At 37.4% G+C, this 21250-nt stretch overlaps 1 protein-coding gene across 4 annotated transcripts in view, besides 2 other annotated features; it reads right to left on the bottom strand.

Moving 5' to 3' along the window:
- The window catches only part of CDK14 (cyclin dependent kinase 14), a 614270-nt gene that overhangs the window by 66613 nt on the left and 526407 nt on the right, over nucleotides 1-21250 (bottom strand). The window lies entirely within an intron of this gene.
- Nucleotides 4839-7911: an enhancer, noted in NCBI's record as "VISTA enhancer hs1628". NCBI's record gives its function as "enhancer in: forebrain[8/8]" and the evidence as "EXISTENCE:transgenic organism evidence [ECO:0001131][PMID:17130149]".
- Nucleotides 15213-19398: an enhancer, noted in NCBI's record as "VISTA enhancer hs1627". NCBI's record gives its function as "enhancer in: midbrain (mesencephalon)[20/20] | forebrain[11/20] | limb[13/20] | eye[18/20] | ear[18/20]" and the evidence as "EXISTENCE:transgenic organism evidence [ECO:0001131][PMID:17130149]".

Raw genomic sequence — 21250 nt, 5'->3', positions numbered from 1 at the left:
AGACCAGTTGATAAGTGCAACAACATGACCTCTTTCTAGCTTACAAATTTAGCTCTACCACTTCATAGCTGTAAGACATTGAGGACATGAAGGAACAGCTCAGGTCTCAGTCTCCTCTGCAAAACGGGGATAAGAACACCTACCTTAGTGGGTTGTTATGAGGATTAAATGAAATTACTCATGTAAAGTGCTCAACATGATGTCTAGCATGCAGTAAGCACTCATTAAGTGAGATGTTCTCACTATTACTATTATTATTATTTTAGAGACAGGGTCTCACTCTGTAACACAGGCTGGAACACAGTAGCATGATCTTGACTCACTGCATTCCTGGGATCAAGTGATCCTCCCACCTCAGCCTCCCAAGTAGCTGGGACTACAGGTGAGCACTACCACGCCTGGCTAATGTTTTATTTTTTGTAGAGTCAGGGTCTCGCTATGTTGCCTAGGCTGGACTCAAACTCCTGGGCTCAAGTGATCCTCCCTCCTCGGCCTCCCAAAGAGCTGGGATTGATTACAGGCATGAACCACTGTACCCATCCACTATTATTATTATTAACCTTACAATTGTGCTTTATGGCATGACAGCCATCTCTAGAAATAAGAGGCAAAGAGAAAAGGTTAAGAAAAAAAGTAGCTTGTACTTGTTCTGACGCTATAGTGAACGGTCTTTACTACATTCTCTTTCCTACCTTTAAGCAGGACACAGGTACCCACTCACCTACTCTGTTTTTGAGGCGATTACATTTCTTGTCCAGCTTCAAACATATCCTGGACTTTTCAGCTGTTCTGTGGTTTTAGGTGCCCCTTCCTGGAAGCCCATCCCTGACTATAAATATCCCACCTAGTCTTCAAGTTTTAGCTCAGATGCTATCTTTTCCATGAAGCATTCCCTGAACTTTATGAGGTCTGTCCCTGCTCTATTTTCATTGCACTTTATTTATATTTATATAACAGTAATTTTCACATTTTACCTTGGGTGAATCATCCGTATCTTATGTCATCTACTGCACTGTAAACTGCTTGACAATAGGGACCATGTCTTGTACATCTTTGGATCTCTTACAAAATCCATCTGAGATCTGTTGGCATTTAGTAAATGTTTGCTAATTTGTCATCTCATTCTCAATCAGTTGGGTCACTTATTTTCAAGGAGATCTTTCTTCTTTAGAAACTTGTTACAGTCTTTTCCTTTTGTTCCTGGTTCCCCTGAAACTATATGCACATATTTCACTTTGTGTACAACATTATGTTATATGCTATGGAATAAACCAACTTTACCTGATGAAGCTTTATGATTCCCTTGGAAATGGAAGCTAAACACATATAATAATAAACCTGATTAAATGCCATACAATTATTATGAGTTCTCAGACAGCAGCTCAATAAGGGCCAAGAAGGCAACTTGAGTGAAGTGGCCTAGATTATTTATACAAGGAAATAGGCTCTTGTCAATTCTTCTTACAACAAAAGGCTCCTCTGGGCTATTTTTACATTTGACACGGACAACAGAGACATGGCTACAAGAAATATTTCACTTTTCTTTTCCTCCACTGAAAGTTAAACAACACAGAAGGTGAAGGTAAATAGCAATTGCTTCTCAGTCTGAGTGGCAGGGGGACAAGAAGGAGTGGCAGGGACTGTGGCAAACTTCAGGTCACAGCCTTTGCTAAAGAAGGCAGCCACTACTCAGCCCTACTGATCACTGCTGTTAGAGAATGCCCAAAGTGGTCTAATCTTCCTTTTTCTAACAACAACAATAAAAAAATGAGATGCAGAAAAAAATTATTTTCATGTAAAATCTACATAGTTTTAAAAGTTGACTATTATCTTAAATATTTAAAAGCACTGTTGGCCGGGCATGGTGGTTCATGCCTGTAAACCCCAGCACTATGGGAGGCCCAGGTGGGCAGATCACGAGGTCAGGAGATTGAGACCGTCCTGCTAACATGGTGAAACCCCGTCTCTACTAAAAATACAAAAATTTAGCCGGGCGTGACGGTGGACGCCTGTAGTCCCAGCTACTTGGGAGGCTGAGGTAGAAGAATGGCGTGAACCCAGGAGGCGGAGCTTGCAGTGAGCGGAGATCACGCCACTGCACTCCAGCCTGGGTGACAGAGTGAGACTCCATCTCAAAAAAAAGAACAACAGCAACAACAACAACAACAACAACAACAAAACCCACTGTTTTAGGCAAATCCTAGGTATACGGGCAGTATCTGTTAAAGACTTCCAGGTTACAACCTCCACAAGTGTTTTGGAAAAGTAAGAGAAAGACACTATAACTGTAGGTTGGAATGCCCTGGCTCGGCATCATGGAGAAGCTGGTAGCCGAGATGCACCTGTAACTTATTTCTCTCTTTTTTTTTCTGACCTTACTTTCTCTGTTGTCTGTGCTGACCTCTATTCACAGCTCAGTAACAATGACCCAGCTTTTGAATCTTTGTTTATCCCATCAAGTCCTATTATGCCAGAGGCTCCCAAATCTTCAGTTCTGCTTTTAATTTCTATCTCTCTTTCTCTCTCTGTTGCTATATCAACCTAAACGAAAGGACACCTCTACTTTATACCACCAGACTTGGCCTAATTATCCTCACCTAATGCTTGCCCCTTCTGAGTTCTTTGAAGTCGCCAGTGAAGGTGCCATCTGGCCAATTAGTTCATCTGAGAAAGTGGAGACAATTTTAATTCTTCTCTGTCCTTCTCCCACCACTCTAACTACATGACTACGTCACACTGACGATTTTCTGGAATGGCCCCCTACTGAGGGTCATGAAACTTACACTTCCTCAAAGACTGCTTCCACTTTCTTGCTTCCTTTGCTTCACTCAAGTGGAAATTCTTGCCATCCCCTGCACGTGACACACTCAGTGCAACTTTTGTGCTTTTTGCTGATGTACAAAAATCTCTTGCATCTCTTTTCCCAATTTCCACAAATCCCTTTTCTTCATGTCCTCATGCCAAACCAAGCCCTGGTTTGCTCTTCCTTCTGTCATGGTTATGTACAACTTTTACCAAGCAATACACTACACTGTAAGATGGTCTAGATTTTTTTTTTCATTTTAGGTAAAAGAAATGGAAAAAAAAGACCAAAAAAATGGCTATCATAAAAGATCTCGAATACGTCTGTCTTTTATTTATACAGACTTCATGAAATTTGGAATTCATAACAGTCACTGAGTACTTGTTACGGAGCAAGCAAGTATTGTGCTAAATACTTTATCCTCCTATTTAGATCTTCACAACAAGCTGACAAGAAAGGAACCATTCCTACTCCTGATTTATAGATGGAAAAACTGAGGCTAAGAAAGGTTAAGTCTCAGCCCAGGCCACAGAGCTGGTAAGTAGCATAGCACAGTCTGAAAGCCCAGGTTGCTGGTATTAACCAAAGATATTAATCCCTATTCTATATTGCTTCCCGAGTTAGAGCTGCCTGTACTGAATCAAGTCTACCACCAACAAAACTGATGCTAGTGCAATGAATGATTAACAAAGGACTCACTAACATAAGGTCAAAGTAAAGGAAGCCCATGACCACTTCACATCTTTTCTCAAACAGACACAACAGAACTCAGGATTAAACAAAAGAGTTCGACATAAGGTTCTGGCTCCAGGACAGTCTGTGCCACACAGATCCCCTCATACAATGTCAAGGCCAGAAAAAGCACCTCTTAAATTTATTTCAACTTTCCAAAGGAAGTCATGTAAAATGCACTTTTAGGGAAGTCAGTTTGTTTTCTTATTTAGTCTTTGTTCTCTTGCTATTTATTTCTATTAAAGAGATTGTCTCTCTCCATGATCCTCGGTTTTAAAAGGACCTTATTTGAGCATGTGAGGAGGCTGCCCAAATCCTTCTCACTCGTGTCACCATTGCTCACTTTTGCCTTTCATCCCGTCCTAAAGAACAAAACAGGAAAAATTGCAGGGAGAGGTATTCACTGCTTTTCTCTGTTTAAAATTGTAAGGCTGTTTAAAGTTCAATCTGATTCAGTGTTGTCCTGGTTGTGTGCTAAGTCTCAGAGTTTTTTTCAATGGGATTAAGTAGGGAAACTGTACTTCGTCTTGAAAGAAAGAAATGAACGGAAAAAAATGAAAGGTGACAGAGAAAGAGGGAAAATAAAGAGAAAAAAAGGAAGAAAGGAAGAGCAAGAAAGAAAAGAAAAGAAAGAAAGAAAGAAAGAAAGAAAGAAAGGAAAGAAAAAAAGAAAAGAAAAGAAAAGTTCTGAATTGTTTCCTGATCTCTCCCTAGTAAAGAAAACCAAAATAATGTTTGCTATGGTCCTGGAGGCTACTGTACTTAGCTCTAAAAATACCAAGGAACATGGGAAATCATTCATTCAAACTTTTGGCCACTGCATCCTTTGTTGAAAAATATCTTAGGTGGAAACATAAAGTGTAAAACAGATTAAAGTGGAGCTACTTTGATGTGGAGAGTGATGGGGTTGAAGCCCTGCCCAGTGTTCCTCTCCCTTTCCACTGCCTCCCAAGAGATACCTTCAAGGGGATCTGAGGAGCAGTGACTGCTTTGAAATTTGTTTTGGCCACAACTCACTAGAAAAAATGCATTTTATTAAGTGACTCAGTATAGATATAAATGCACATGCACACATACAGTTGAAATAAAAATTTCATGAAATGATACTTATTATTTTTACTACATGTGATCATCTCATTTTCCTTTCCCGTTTAGTCTACTCCACTTGCGAAGTACTTTCTCCAGTCTACTAGATTGATATCACTATCCAATAAGGAGTTAAAAAAACACTGCATTCAGTAACTTAATACTTAAAATAATTCTATAGATTAAGAAATACTTGCTCCCGTCTGCATTTCCTCCCTCTTGAGGGAGCACTGATGAAGAAAACATGCAGTAAGAAGTGGTAAGTGGAGGCACTCGAATTTGGATGTAGGGCTGATTCACTTGTCTAAGAAGGACAGATTCTCTTCGCAAGGAGTTGGGAACACTGACCTCGAATGATGTCTGCTTGTTATTGCAAATCACAGGACAAGTCAACCTGGCTTCCATCACATGGACTAGAGAAGCAGGGAAAGCCAGAATCGAGGCAACAAAAAGATGGACAAAGAAAGAGATCTTATCTCTGCTGGAGTCCCTGTTTCCAATTTACGCCCAGGGCCCAGTTTTATTTTTGTCCTTGGTTCCATAAAATATCTTATATATCCTTACAATCTCCCATTTTATAAAAATGAGGAAAAAAAGAGGGAAAGAAAGAAATAGAAATCACAGGATAGTCATGACAATACATTTAACAATCAGCTGTCATTAATATATATAAAATCTATTCATGCTACAAAATTATCACCAACATAAAAAAATTCTACCCCACTTAAAAGAACAATAATAAAAATATTTCTGGTAGATTTAAAGAAAGTGAAAGAGAATGCAAATATATATTTGCAGAAAGAATTCCCTAGGTCTATTGCTTTTTCACCCTTGAGACTGTCAATGCACTATGTCAATACAGTGGCAACCACAGGATTTAAAGGTTTTATTAAACTTTCTTCACTAACTTAAAAAATCCATCTCAAATGCCATCTATTTAGGTGTGTGTCCCTTTTCACCTTTTTATTTTAGCAAGAGGCTCTAAGAAATACACCTTTTAAAAACTCTAGCCACAGCAAGCCTATAACAAGGCTTCAAACATATGTACTTCCACACGAAATCACAAAATGGGCTTTTATAAATTTCTTTCTACAAAAATAAATAAGAGAAAGTAATAAAAAAGATAAAGCCTTCATACAGAATTGCAGCAATTATATCCCCACAGCTACACTATAACCCAAAACTTTGCAAAGGCTTTGATTATTGAACCATGGCTGAAGTGAATAATTTGCTTTTCACTAAGAAAACAAGCACATTATTCTCACCACAATGGAGAGAGGCAGTTTTAATTAAACCTTATCAAAAGATGAATAAAGAATAAACTCAATACCCATTCCACAGAACTCTATTTTCATCTGTTTAGTTTAAGCTTGCCATGTTCATGCAATAATTATCCACTGTCCAAGGAATGCCAGAGTTGTGTTAATGTTGGTAAAGATTTAATTAGCTCAATTATCTGGAGAGTATTGAAGTGAGGCTCAGCACAGTACAAATTTCTTCAGGCTTTATACATACCTCTCATCAAAATACATGAAACTGAAATCTAAGTGAACAAAAGACTCTTACTCTAAAACTCCACAATTGAAACAGTTCCATACTTCATAATTTTATTACTCCAATTAAACACACACACACACACATACACACACACACACACACACACCCCCCACAAGTCTTTAGAAGTAGAGCTCATAAGTGAGGGCTTATCTTGGTGTGAGTGTGTGTGTGCGTGTGTGTGTGCACAGTGCATGTAGTTAACTTCCTGAATCTGTAAATATGTTCTTAGAAAGTTAATTAAATCTGCCTTTTAGATAAATATTAACATCCCAAGCACGGTCCTTTAAAAATTTTTTATTTTTTCAATGGAGCCTACATATTACTTTTTTTTCCCAGAAAGCAAGGCATTTAAATAGCATTGAAAGCACAGTAATGCAGATAACTGTTTCAATCTGTCAGACACCAGGGACAGACAGTAGGGTTCATTTCAGAAAACAGATTGGCCCCCAGCGGCCTGACCTTCCTGGTGGGAAAGAGAACACAGCACTGTGCTTGACAAGCTCAGCAACAAAGAGGTATATTCAGGTCCCCCCAATTCAGACATGCTTCTCACAGGGGAAAATGCAAAGCTGGAGAAAGAAATGCACCACTTCCAGCAAAGCAGAGTTTACTTAGATCAGAGACAAGCATTTCAACCATAACAAAAAATAACATATTTAGGAAAGCAGCAAGCACAATTTTATCCACAGTTATAAATTTAGAAAGCTCTAATTTGGGCATTGTCAATGTCTTAGCTTCCAACTTCACCTGTGATCCACACCCACTAGCATTATAACATCAGTGGGAATCCCAAAATATGATTATCCTGATAAAAGATTTCCTAATTATCAATGAAGAGGGCATAACTTTTCTCTTAGAAGATGGCTCATGCGAATTTCAAAGTGTGCTTTATCTTTCTTTTTACATGCTGCAAGTTTTGCCTTTATTTTGAAATCCAGATGGACATTTTCTTGTCTTTTAGACCCTTAAACAGATTTTTCATTACCTTTTATTTTGCATTTGTATAGGGTCTTTTTAAGAAAGTTTCAAAATGAGACAAAAATCCAGCAAAAGAATAAAAAACAACTAAAACAGTGATAAAGGAATATCCTTAATTCAGAAAACCTCAAGCTGAATTAGTTGCTCTATGTAAATACGTACATATTTTTCAAAACTCCAATGTCAAGTTTTATTGTATATCCTACAGGATCCATTACAAGGCATGTTTAGTCTGTATGTTTATATATATAAAATGTGTTAAGATATCACATTTTTAAAGCATTAAGCTTCATGTGGAAGATTATAAATTTAAAAGGCACTCACAGATACCCATGTTACCCTTATAAACAAGTACATTGCTGTTTTTTAAATTCAGAGTCTATGTTTTTAGTACATACTTTCCTAAACTGTAGAGATTATGGGCAGTAACGCTCAAATCAACTAGTGAAGTTGAAACAAGCCCTGACTTCTGACCCATAAATATCTGGATGATTAAACACTCCTCTTTGTAAATGTGTAGATTATTAGAAAAACTTACGGTGGAGAGTAGACCATGGTATACCACATAGAACATCATATTTTAGAAAAGAAGGCATAGTTTTGAAAACTGGACACAGATCAAAGTCAGAAACTCACATTGCCAGATAAAAGACAAGGCTGGTCGGGTGCTAAGACAACTTGAACTGCCAGAATAATTTGCCTCCATTTTAGACATAAACACTTTGTATCAGAAAATGCTATAAGGAAATGGGGCAAAAATGATCCATGCCAATAAAAATTAGTTTTTATCTGCCTCATTTTTTTTCAGCCATCTTCTTTAGGAAGTACACAAAGGTCTCTTCTGAGCTGGCAAAGAAAGACACAAGTGTAGGTTGGTTTTACCTGGTTTTCTAGCCTGTGAGCACTTTGATGGTATGACTCACTGAGTCCGGCTCTAAAAGACATCCTTGGAACTTCAGAGTATTTTGTGTAAGAACAAAGGGTGCTTGGGTTCAGTTTGCAACACAAGTCACTTTTACCACACAAATTCCCTTCTTTTGTGCTGGCAAAGGGGGATGCTTTGAGCCCTTTGGGTTTAGAAGATCTTCAAACAGACAATAGTGTGCAAACAACCCTCAAGAACGTAACTTTGCTAGGACAACCTCAAGGCTGAGACCAAGGCTTTGAGAAAGGCCCCTTCAGCTGATTTCCTTCTGCTCCTCACCCTGAACAAAGCCTGACTGACAATACTGAAATCTCCCTCTTTGGATTAAACCCTCTTTGCAGGAAAAGTATGCAAATGCTATACATGGCTCCCTTGTCTGAGGCTACTCTTACCCGGCTATCTTTTCTCTGTCGGGCTCACCCTTGCAGACCATCTATTCCTGACACTGAGACCAGCCTTCCAATTCAATATCTTTCACAGCTCTGACAGTCAGATGCCTGGTCCTGCCACTGCCTCTAAAAGGGGGCTCATTTACTTGTAATTAACTATTCCCTGCATATTTCCTAAGGTATGGTAATTGTGCTAAAAGCCAACAAGTGAGGCATTCATTCTAGTTCTCATTTAAATCTTTTTTTTTCCCTCAGCAGTCTTCCTCCCTCTGCCTCCTTTTCACCCCCAACCCTCTGTCCCCCAGTTTTCTTTTTTTGTTCCTCCCTGGTAACATATCAAGTAAAGAGATGAAGTGAAGGTGGAAATTGAAAAGTACGGGAAAATAAACAATTCAAAAGGCAGAGCTTACTGAATAATGAAGCACTGCATGGAAAGTTACAAGTGAAAGAAAATTTAAAATGAAACACACTGCTTTTTTTTGACAGAAATATATATGTATACAAATATGTAAATACATACATATTTGAATACTACATAAAACGGCCAATTTAATAAGCTGGTTCAGGGTCTCAAGATATGTTTGTATATACACACAACAAAAAATTCTATAAATTATTATTATTTTTTTTTGAGACAGGGTCTCACTCTGTTGCCCAGACTATATAGTGCAGTGGTGTGATCTCGGCTCACTGTAACCTCTGCCTCCTAGGCTCAAGCAATTCTCCTGCCTCAGCCTCCCGAGTCACTGGGATTACAGGCACATGCCACTACTGCCCAGCTAATGTATATATTTTTAGTAAAAACAGGGTTTCACCATGTTGGCTACTCTGGTCTCAAACTCCTGACCTCAACTGATCCACCTGTCTTGGCCTCCCAAATTGCTGGGATTACAGGTGTGAACTACCATGCCCGGCCTAAATTCATTTTCTTAATAGAAATTTTCTTCTCAAAATTTATTTGCACTCTGCACTACAAAGAGTACAAACAAAAGATAATGATTTTGCCTTCCCAGTCTTTCTACCCCTTAGCTGCAGATAAGAAATATATAAGGTCAAGAATCTTAACTTCTGACCTTTTGCAAATAGTTCAGGTCTGGGCAAGCGGGCAGTGGACCTCTGAGGACTGTAGCATGTTCTTGCAGGTAGGTCAACAATGCCATGATCAGGAGATATTTAGGGGATGAGGTGAAGTGATAAAAAAATTATTTACCTCAAAGACTTTAGCTACAAGCTGTTGAGCTATAGTCAAGTGGATCAAACTGGAAAATAGTCATGGCTGTTTGCAACATCTCCATCCTCTCAACCCACAAAGCAATGTTGTAGAATTAGTCTTGGCATAGGAAAGTACATATTGTTTCATTAAAAAGACTCAATGCCCTCCCCCCACAAAAAGCCCTCACCTTTTGAAAAGCCCATTGAGATTAGCAGCAGGTGGAGAATCCGGAGTCCCAAATTCTTATGCCGACAGGACTCCTTTAGCTCCTCTTTTTGCTTTTGGCTAAATTATGTTTCTATGCTATCTCTTAATCATCTGGATACTGCTATTTCTAGTATTAATTTATCAGCATTTCTTAGGGGTAACAGAAAGTACTTTAAACGTTAACTCATGGAATGCCCTGTGGTTGTAAAATGAGCTTAGCTTGCGTAGTATCTGACTCTTCAACATAGATCTACAGAGGAGAATCTGGTAATGAGATAGCGTCAAAGAACTTGGACCCATCCAAGGGGACTCTGAGGTTGGAATATAGTGAGAGCCTAATATGGCTATAAAAATGTAAATTAACTAACTTTCTTAATTATACAATAAAATCGGTAAAACCATCTTCTCTGTTAAAGTAAGGACACAGCAGTTCAATATACTTCCTTTCACTCATATTTCTTATGTATAAATTTTACATGTACAAGCAAAATATTCTACTTTCACTTTATCCCATGTATTTCTCCATGTTACTTGGCTTAATAACTTCAATTTTCAAGACTGTATCATATTTCATCTGCTTTGGTAAACTTTAATTTACTTATTTATTTTTAAAATATTTAAATGGTCTACTCTGTTCTTAATAATTTGTTTAATCTGTTTTACATTAGTTGTTTCAACATTTTTTTCATTGTTATCATAATTATCCCTGAAAATTTTAGTTACTAACCATTAAGGTGGTTTAAGGAATTTGGTTAGACAGACTTTAATATTGTCAAATACTTCACAGTGTATTTGAGTTTAGGCAAAACTGGGCCTGAAACTACAGTTAACCCTTACAGGGACTTAAAGTACATAGACAGGAGTATGAATTTATTCATAAAAACACTTTTGCACACCAATTGACTGCTGAGTATACAAGACCATGAAGATACTGAATTCTTAAACATTTCTTTTAACTTTGAAAATTGTCTTAAATTTTTATCCCTAGAAACTCGCTTTTCCATTTTTTGCATTTCTCCCAAATGATACCAATGTATCTTAATATATGAAATATTATATATTCACAAAATTTAAATTAAGGGGATTGTTATTCATTTTACAAAAGATATGTGAATAGAAAAGGCATATTCTTTAACTTAAAATAATTTACATATTACTTTTAAGAAACATGTTGTAATATGCTGATAAATGTATAATCAAGAAACTATGTCTGTAACAGAGTCACAACAGAGTTGCAGTCACTTTTGCAACCTCCTCCAGCAAAATTAATTTTTCCCTCATTTGCCCTCCCATATGGCTTCACGCAAAGTTCTGCTGTACCCTTTATCATCCTGAAATTTAAAATGTCATGGCTGGAGGATGAATAGAAGGAGAAGAGTAAGTGTTGGTAAAATTGCTAACATCAAATTAGGCATAAATGTGAATGGAATCTTGTTTATTTTCTTTACTTAATTTCAAGACATGATCTAACATAATAAGTTCAAAGAAGAAAAAAAATACATCTTCCTTTAGCATTGTTAAATGATTCCTAAAGGATCTCTCAGCTTGAAGATGTTTTGGTTCTTCTGTCTGTGACCAGGAAGTCATACATATTCTCTATGGGCAACAACATGAAAATCCAAACTCTTCAGCATGTCATTCAAGACCCTCAGAATCGGGCTTCAAATGACTTTCTCTGCGCGTGTCTTCTCACTCCGTATCTCCCAGCCCCTTAGCTCTATCAGATCAGTCCCTAGAGATGCTGCACTTTGTGACACAGCTTTGCTCTTGGTGTTTGTTTCCTCTTTTTGAAAACATCCTTCTCCTCCTGTATGCCCATGCAAAATCCAATGCCTTCTTTTGTTCAAAATCTCTTCCTTTGGAAAAACTTCTGCTATCTCCTCGAGCAAAATTAATATTTCCCTTATTTGCTCTCCCATATAGCTTCATGCAAAGTTCTGCTGTACCCGTCATCATCCTGAAATTTAAAAGACTGCATTTGTGTCCCTAAATTGTGAGTGTCTTGAAGCTGGAACTGTCTTCTTACTATTGTCTAGTAGAGCACCAATATAGTGGTTGCTAAAAAACCAACCAACCAACCAACCAACAAAAAAACTTCCTAAAAGAACAAGAGATTGGTGTATGGTGAGTTGGTTGGATATTCACTAAGTCAATCAATATTTCAAAAATATTTAATGGGCATAGATTATGTGCCATGCGAGGAGATGGGAAATATAATGGTAAAATGAGGATAAAACCGTAAACGAGTTCCTGTATTCTGATATTTAGATTCCAGTGGGGAAGGAAGACAAATGAACAGGTGACTTCAATACTGAAGGGCTAACACTTGCTTTGTTCCCAACATCTGTAAAGTAGCCACATTTTATTCATGTTTACAAAATATATTCCACACGCTGTCAGATGCCCTTATAAATTCTATCACTGATCCTGAGTCAAAGGCTGGAACATCTCAGGGTTCTTAACTCAGACATTCCCTGCTTTGTTGGTGACTCTGTCTCCATTTCCACCCATTTTCATTTAGAAAGTTGAAGCCTTGAGAGTAATTTCTCTCTTCAGATTCTGACATTAGACAGCCTTGTTGTCAGTTCAGTAACCATTTAGAGTTCTTTCCATTTGACTGAGAACCTGTCCCAGATCTCCAGCTTCTCTGACTTTACATCCTGGATATCACGTTGGCTTTAAAACCTTATCTGTGTTAATGTAGTGATCAAGGTCAACATCTCCAGTGATAATTTATGTGGATATCATGTACTTCTTGACATGAAGTGGTGAAAGGGCATCTCATCTTAGTGGTATTCTTCTCCAAAACATCATGAGGGACATTCTGCAAAATACCTGAACAGTACTCTTCAAAAGCATCCAGGTCATAAAAAATAAAGTTAATATTAGGAGAAGGTGGGTTAAGGACATAATCCTCTGTACTGGCTTTACAACTCTTCTAAAAAATCTAAAAGTACTTCAAAATAGAGTTCAAAAAACAAAAACAAAAAAAAAATAAAAAACTAAAGAACACAGCCCTAATCTGACTGACTGCTACTCAGGTTGAGCAGATATTCTGGATTCTGAAACCCCAAATGCACCCAGATTTCCATGAGTTACTTCATGGGAGCTCGGCGGGAAAAGACCCAAGTCCCGTTTTCTGACATAAAGTTGAATTTATGCTGTGTCTAATAGGAGCTATCTGAAAGCCTTTCTGAGTCCTATAAGCAAGCTATGTAAAATGGCCTGATGATTTAGTATCATATGGCCAGAGGCTCTCCATGTGAGGTCAAACTTGATGCATATAAAAAAGGAAAGTCACAGCCCCTAAGATTAATATACAGTAAAAGTCTTTCAAGATTTGGTCTACTAGTCATCAAGAGGATAGTAAATGATGCTCTATTGTAATTTTCAGATGATACCTGTGTGAACACAAGAATAGGGATTTTTATCTATTGTACACTAGAAAAATTGAGATATTAAATCGAGAGATCCAGAATCATTTCATATAGCAAAAAAAAATTTGTGCTGAATAGTAATTTCTTCAAGAAGGAAAATGTTACCAACATAACTTGTATGTTAGAGTTAATGCATGACACTTGTGAAATAGAGCAGTGTTTCTCATACTTTTTTATCTTAGGACCCCTTAAGACTCTTAAAAGTTAAAAGGAACCCCCTAAGAACTTTTGCTTCTATGGTTTGTAGCTGCTGATACTTACCATATTCAAAATTAAAACTGTTAATTAAAAATATTTATGTGAGAACTCATTACATGTTAACATGAAAACAGAATTTAAATAAAAATAACTACATTTTCCAAAGAGAATTAGTGGGAGGAGTGGCAGTGCCCTATAGTTGTGCAAATCTTTTCAATGAGTGGCTGGATAGAAGAGAGTTGGGTTCACAAATATGTTTCTACATTCAATCTATTATGATACATTGTTTTGGTTGAAGCAAATGACAAAAATATGGGACTACAACAGATAAGTAGTTGGAAAAGAAAAAAGTATTTTAATAGCCCTTTCAGATATATTCTTCTTTTACAGTACAACAAAACTCAACAAGTGTTAGTTTCTTAAGGGTTAATTGTACCAGGGAATCTGAAACTATATCAATGAACTCTTCGTATTCTGTTACCTTAATATCTATTGGTTTATTTTAAACTTTCAGTGAATATTTTATCCATGCATTATTTTGCTAACATGCATTGATCATTTGGAAAACATTGATTTAGTGAGTTATGCAGGTATTTCAAAGGTTGACACGTTTCACTATATAATATCAAAAAAATCACATTTGTTTATATTACCACCAATCTCATTATCACTGTCCAGTTCACAGTGGCAAATAAAAGCTACCCATAGAGTTCTCAAATTCAAATTTTCTATTGAAAGCTCTAATTTTATCAACAAATTAATACTGGTTTTTTGCTTTGGTGATGAACTCATTTTTGGTTCCTTTCTGAGAAGATGTCTGCCAAATACCCAAGTCTGAATAACCATAGTTTTTCCTGTCAGTCATTCTTTCAAGTAAAAACCATATGCCTGGAAAAAAGCAGTTAGTTCAGCTTACAACTCAAACAACTGTACAAGAGTTTTCCTTGAGACAACCATGGTAACTAGGTATCCAGTGGAAATGACTTAGGCAAACTTCCCATTTAGTCACAGAGTATATTAAGAAGACATTTACCTAAAAGTAGAGGTTTAATAAAATCAATACTTTTAACTTCCTCATCAAGAATATTATTAAGTGAAGCTTTTTCCGCCCCCTCCAAAATTGAATTGTGTGGTTGTGAAGACACAGTGCCCAGGAATACAGTTTAGAGTGTCACTGCTTTGATTCATGCTAAGGAGCCAGCAGTTTTACCCTCCATTGCTTTTGCACCACTAGTGCAAATGTCAACACAGTGTAAATGGCAAAGAATATCTTAGTGTTATTATGAAAACAGTTTTGACCCCATGAAGGCCCTGGGCGTGAAGCCCCTGGGGATCCACATGGTATATGGACCACACTTTGAGATCTGCTGACATAAAAGACGATGATAAAACTATCATTTCTTTTCTTTAGTATCCAGGGACCTTCTCTGAGGAGAACCCACAAAACTGAAAGTAAGACTTTTAACACATGGTTACTCAATCCACAGAGTTGTGGAAACGTTCAACAAAGAGTATGATAAACATAAGAATGTCAATATGTACCAGCAATTAGTTAATGGAGAGGAGATGGATTGAGAAGAATGTAAAATAGTGGAGAGTCTAAGAAGTCAGTGAGTGCAGAGCTGACTCTGCAATGCGGAATTGAAAGGAGGGGCTGGAGAAAAGGGTAGGCAATGAGACCAGGCATGCACAAACACCACCAATTCACCCCTGCAGTCTGCAGGGCCAGGAGCCTTCAACTTGCCTGTCTTGAGTTTACGGTAAGGGCTTCTTACTTAAAGGTACAGACTGGGAAACCTACTTGTTACTTGTAGACAACTATACCCAATTATTTTATTATAACATTTTTTTGACAATGTTTTCCCTCAAAGTGGTTTGTTTATTTATTAATCTAATAAATCTGTCAGTTATTAACAAATTGGGTTTCTGTGAAAGATAAAAAATCTTAACGTTAGGTGAACATTTCAGACAGCATTCTATAAAAATTTTGTTTTCAAGGCCAGCTTCTGGACCACACAATACAATTCCCAAATGAGGGGATGAGTGGATTCACACTGATGTTTAAATTTTTATATTTGACAGAACTAATGCAGTATATCTTGAAAGCTATATACAGTAGCTTAATGCTAAGCTTTTTATGCTGAATACAGAATGGAATGAATTTTGCACCAGTGTTTTGGACTAGGAGGTTTTAAGATTCCTATTCACATTACACAGCAGTCTGAGGCTGCTTGATAAAACAAGCCTTGGCTATTTAACAACTGCCTCATAAAATGTCTCAATATTTAAGAGAAACCCAAGGCAAAGACATTTTGAAAATATACATTTTAACCAGAATCTGGATGCTAAGTAAACATCCTTTAGTGTTCAGCCAGAAAGACTTGCAGCTGTGGCATTTGTGACTTAACAAGATGAAGATCTCCACGCCAAAAGATAAATGATATCATAAAAGTTTCTTATCAAAACAAAATACGTTTTCGGATGGAATTTATGTTTAAAAAAAGGCTTTAAACAAAAGCTCATTTGATACATTGTAAAAATACTGGAAGCCTTTAATTTGGAGTTTAGTATGAATACATGCGAGGCAATACTATTTTCTGTTTTGCCACTGTGTTCTCTTTTTATAAACTGCAGATTAATTTCCTCTATAACAGCAACTTTTTAGTTTAGTTTTGTTTGTAAATAAGGTTACTGTAAATTAACTTTATAGTAGAATATTAAATTCTAGATGAATTGACATGTAGGCAGCAATGAAATGGGAGAACTTCTCCTTTAAAAAAAAAGAAGTTAAAATTTTAACATTGTACCAAAATAGGACACAGTCATATTCTAAAATGTACATACATTTTTTCACATGGATTAGACACAAATCTCCCAAAGGGCATGTGGTCTCTTCTATCAATGAGACTGCACGTGAATCCGGAACCCTGGTTTGATATGTGCAGCCTAGCTAACCACTGAGTATAAACACCAACCCTGTTATAATTCAGTATGCAACTAAGCTAGTCTTCCACACTAGCAGAGGGGGGAAAATCCCTCTTATTTTCTGAAGTTGCCCATCTCTATCCGCTTCTGTCGAATTGCCGCAATTGCCCAGATAAAACATTTGAGAGTATGTCAGCTTTAATTAATGTAACATGACCTGATCATTTCCACAGTTAAGAATAAAGAAGTTTGCTTTCTTTAAATCCAAAGCTCAACCTGGAGATTATGCTAAGTCGCTTCATTCATAGTCCACACTCCTCTGCTCATGTCAGAAGGACAGCATTTGTCCCCTCTAGTGATAAACAAATTATACATGAAATCAATTCCACTTCACAATCATTTTCCCTATTGGGTATTATCTTTCCTTCCCTGCTCCCTCCAGTTAAGCCCGCATCCTGTAACTTGCTAATGAGCCGAGAGCTTTCTGTTCCAGGTGGCACCCCCTGCCTCGAAGTCATGACATTTCCCATTTCGAATGCTGCTGGCATTTTTCGACAGCTCCTGCTAACTAGCCTTTTTGACCTGCACTAAGAGGAACTCATCTGATCGAATCCTCTAACCTGCCAATCATTCCAGCAAATGATCTTCACAGTCACTCCCAAGGCAGGAATGGAAGGAAAAAAAAATAAAAAAAAGAAAAGCGAGTGAGAGAATGAGGGAGTAGGCAAGCGGCTGCCTCTGCAGCTACCTAATGAGAATACTTTAAGTCTCTGAGGCAGCTGAAACACTGAAAAACTGGTGGGAAAATTAGGACACAACTGAATGCCTGGCTCTGTAATTACTGATTTCTTTACATCCTGAGATCATTTTGAGAGCTACACCTCTGAGATGTGCCAGTTTCTAAAGAACACAAGATATATCCCATCTTACGTAGAGAAAATAGTTTTATTTCTCCTGCCACTATCAATATGCAATTCTCATAATCCCACTCTGTCAAACAGCATCCTTTGCAGAATTAATTATGTGCTATAAGCTCGTTAAGTGTGCATTTGTAAACTAGGGATGATTATAATACTTGCCACAGTGAAGAAAGAACCTCTTTTTTTCTCAGGCATATTTTAAATGTTACCAACATTTAGGGGTGTTAATTTTTACATATTCACATAAAAACAAACAGGTATGGTGGAGGTTGGTATGGCGCCAGGGAGGATTAAATTCTTGACACCGACAAAAAGAGGATAATCTGGGCATTCTTAACTAATAGAGGTGAAATAATTTTTTTCCTTCCAGATTTTTCCTGCCTGTGCAGAATCAGTTTATTTAATTATATTTAAACTTAGTGGGGCCTTGGCCCACAGAATAACCCTATTATTTTAGGAAGAATGATCCCGGAGATGGTTAATTTGGCAATGTATCACAACTCTAGGTATCTTAATATGGAGTAGATTTGTTGACCAAGGAAAGATACAATATAATTATGTGTTATCATTATACCATTGTATGTAATAATGTAAAATAAATACTGTACATGATTTAATTGCACATTATAATCACACATCTTTCCCCATTTATAGTAATTAGGCCAATAGCCCCATTTACAGTAATTATTATATGTAATTGAGGGCATTTTACTAATTGCATTGAAAATGATAATCCAGAGCAATTAAAAATCCAAGGGCACTATACGTAATGCAAACTACATTAAGACAATGGTGATAATTTAAAGGTAAAAAATTCACCCCAATATTGAGGTTAACAGTTCAGTATTTGATTCCATGCTTAGCATACAGGGTTATTTTTATAATGAGATAAATTTCCACCAATGACTCTAACTTTTGTATTTTTTTTTCTAGATTGTGTACATTATTTCCCTAAATGGAAAAGTAACCTTTGATTAATCTATGATGTTATCTTCACAACTCAAGGACTGCTGAAAAATTATTCTTTTTGGCTGTATGAATGGTGTGTGTTTGTGTATGTGTGTGTGTGTGCATGCGTTGGTTAGCAGAGAAAGCAGCTATCCTAAATTCCAAAAGATGCTCAGTAAACCATTCATTTGCACAACCAATTTGATGCTCTTAAAAGCTTTATTCACAGAAGCAATTCAGAGTATTGCAAACTTTTTGTTAATTATACTTGTAATACTTTAGCTAAAGTGTTTAACTTTGTCTATCAGAACACATTCAGGTTGCAATTTTCATTACATTTGCTATCTGTCTAGAATTTTAATGTGTTTAAGGACATGAAACCCTGGCTCTTGTCCCCAGGCCCCAGTGTCTAGCCCTCCCTGATCCCACTCCCCATTTCTACCCAGACAAAGCTCCCATGTGAAGAATATCGCAGAAGGAGTGACGAGTATCCATGGGACAGCGGGAATAGTTTTCAGCTTCTTTTTGCCTTTCCTTCTCGACATTGTCATTTAGACATTGTCCTCTGTGCATTCAAATGTCATCCCAGACCATCAGCCCACTTCAACTCAAACAGCCTCCTTTTATGCTTAGACACTTCTTAGAGTATCAGCAGACCACAAAGACTGTCTAGTGGGACTCAGCTGCTATACTGGTATTAATAATACAATACAGTGCACTTAGGGCATAGACAATTCCTTCTGTATCCCAAATTCATAAGAATCAACATTAAATGAAAAGGAAAAATACAGCACCTGAACTGATTCTAACTACTTTCTATATGTGACTGCTAACTTCCTTGTAATAAATATTGTGGTTACTAGCCACATCACAGCTTGGGCCCACTATTTATAAGAAAGCTTCACTCATATTATGCTGCTGGCTAAATAGTCCCTAAGAAATTAATTTGGGTTTTAAGAAGTCAGAAGATGCAAGTGCTATTCCCCCCGCCCCTCACCATTTTGAAAGCTCATTTGACCTGGAAATGCTGATTCACAAAAATATAGTCAATTTTAAGGATCCAAAGGCTGATGAACCAATTTGTGAAGCATCAACCAGTTTCCTCTCTTTCAGCCACTTTGCTTTTTAAAACCTTAATCAGAGAAAAAAAAAAGGAAAGAAAGGGCAAAAATTTATTATTTTTATTTTAAAAAATCACTCTAAATTATTTGTTTTTAAGAAAAACACAGTTAAATATTTAAAGATAATGGAGCTTCATTTGAGTAACATACATGGTTTAGTGAAACAATGTATGTGTGCACAAATTTGTATGTGATGGCGGAGAGAATTAATATGATAAAGCAAATGTAGCTAATGTAGTAAAATGTTAACACTTTGGGGACAGTGGGTGAAGGGTATCAGGAATTCTTGTGCTATTCTTGCATCTTTTCTGTAGACATGAAATTATGTCAATATAAAAAAAAATGCTTGAAGGCTGGGCATAGTTGCTCATGCCTGTAATCCCAACACTTTGTGAGGCGAAAGCAGGATGATCGCTTAAGGCCAGGAGTTTGAGACCAGCTGAGACAACATAGCGAGACTCCATCTTTACAAAAAAATTTAAAAATGATCCAGGTGTGGTGGTGCGCACCTGTAGTCCTAGCTACTCGGGAAGCTGAGGTGGGAGGATCGCTTGAACACACGAAGTTCAGCCTGAGCAACAGAGCGAGACCCTGTCTCTTAAAAAAAACAAATAACAAAATAAAAAACAAAACAAAACAAAAATGCTTTAAGAATGCATTCTGAAGGAAGCATGATACAACTTTATTTTCATTCTGCTTTGTGACAATCCCAGTAGGTGGTGAGAGCCTGCGAGTCCTCTGCCTACACTTGCATGCGGTTAGGGTGGTAGTGGTGCACAGTACAGATCAGAGTTGACCCAAAGAAAAGAAGGGGTGGAGAGGCAGAGAAGGGACAAGGAGGAGAGAAGAAACAAACTTGCATTAGCGTTTAAAGGATAGAACAGACTCCCCAGGGTAGACAGGAAGCTAAGGTAAGGTGGGGTGGAGGTGGGGTGAGGTGAGGTGGGGAAACTAATAGCATTCCGGCCTCTTCTCATTTGGATATTCATAATATGCATCATGCATTTGAGGTTCAAAGTGCTGTCAATTTCCCAAATAAGATATATTTTTTAATTGGCAGTCATGTGGGGGTAATGGTAACAACTAGGGAATCTTCCAGATGAAACCTGCAAAGAACACTAAGGTTTGTTTCCCCTCTAAGCGTCATTTCAACAATTGTTGTCAATTACATGAGATAACAGAAATAATAAAACTGCAGATGTTTAATAGGAAAAAAAAATTGTAGGATAATGCAGAAAATGGCAGTTTTTGCAGGAAAAACCCCAGAAATCTTCCTAGTACTGAAAGAAACCTAGATCTAACACTTGTGTTTCTTATATATTGAAAAGTGCTGATGGATATTATCTCCGTTTGTGTCTATAGTTGAGAAAATGCAACACACCTTAAAAGGACCTTTAGTCAATAGTTAAAAATATCATACAATGAAGATATCACACCATCAGAACTGGAGTTTCTCTCTGTACTTGCCTGATTTTTCACTCAGTAGTATACAGGCCAGGCAAGGCACTTTCCAGCTATACTGCTTGCTTTCCAAAACCTTCTCCAAGTTTCTGAAGGGCTAAGCCCAGCAGTCTCTTCCAAATGCTTCCTTAAAAACAGGTTGGCCAACCAGTTCTGGGCCCAGCTGACTGGATCAGGGCTCAGAGCCTGACCTCAAGGCAGCCTACCGTCAGTCAGCAGTTTCTACAGGGGTGACTGACACAACAGCTTTGCTCTCTGCTTCATGATGATGGCTACATCAATCAGAGCCACTCTCTGGGAGGGTTTGAATCTGAGGCAAAAAGAGGTCAGCAATAGACTGCCCCAGAAGT

Source organism: Homo sapiens, chromosome 7 (genome assembly GCF_000001405.40).
Source record: "Homo sapiens chromosome 7, GRCh38.p14 Primary Assembly".
Lineage (NCBI taxonomy): Eukaryota > Metazoa > Chordata > Mammalia > Primates > Hominidae > Homo > Homo sapiens.
The sequence above is the reverse complement of the archived record's forward strand: the minus strand, read 5'-3'. Positions and strand labels throughout refer to the sequence as shown.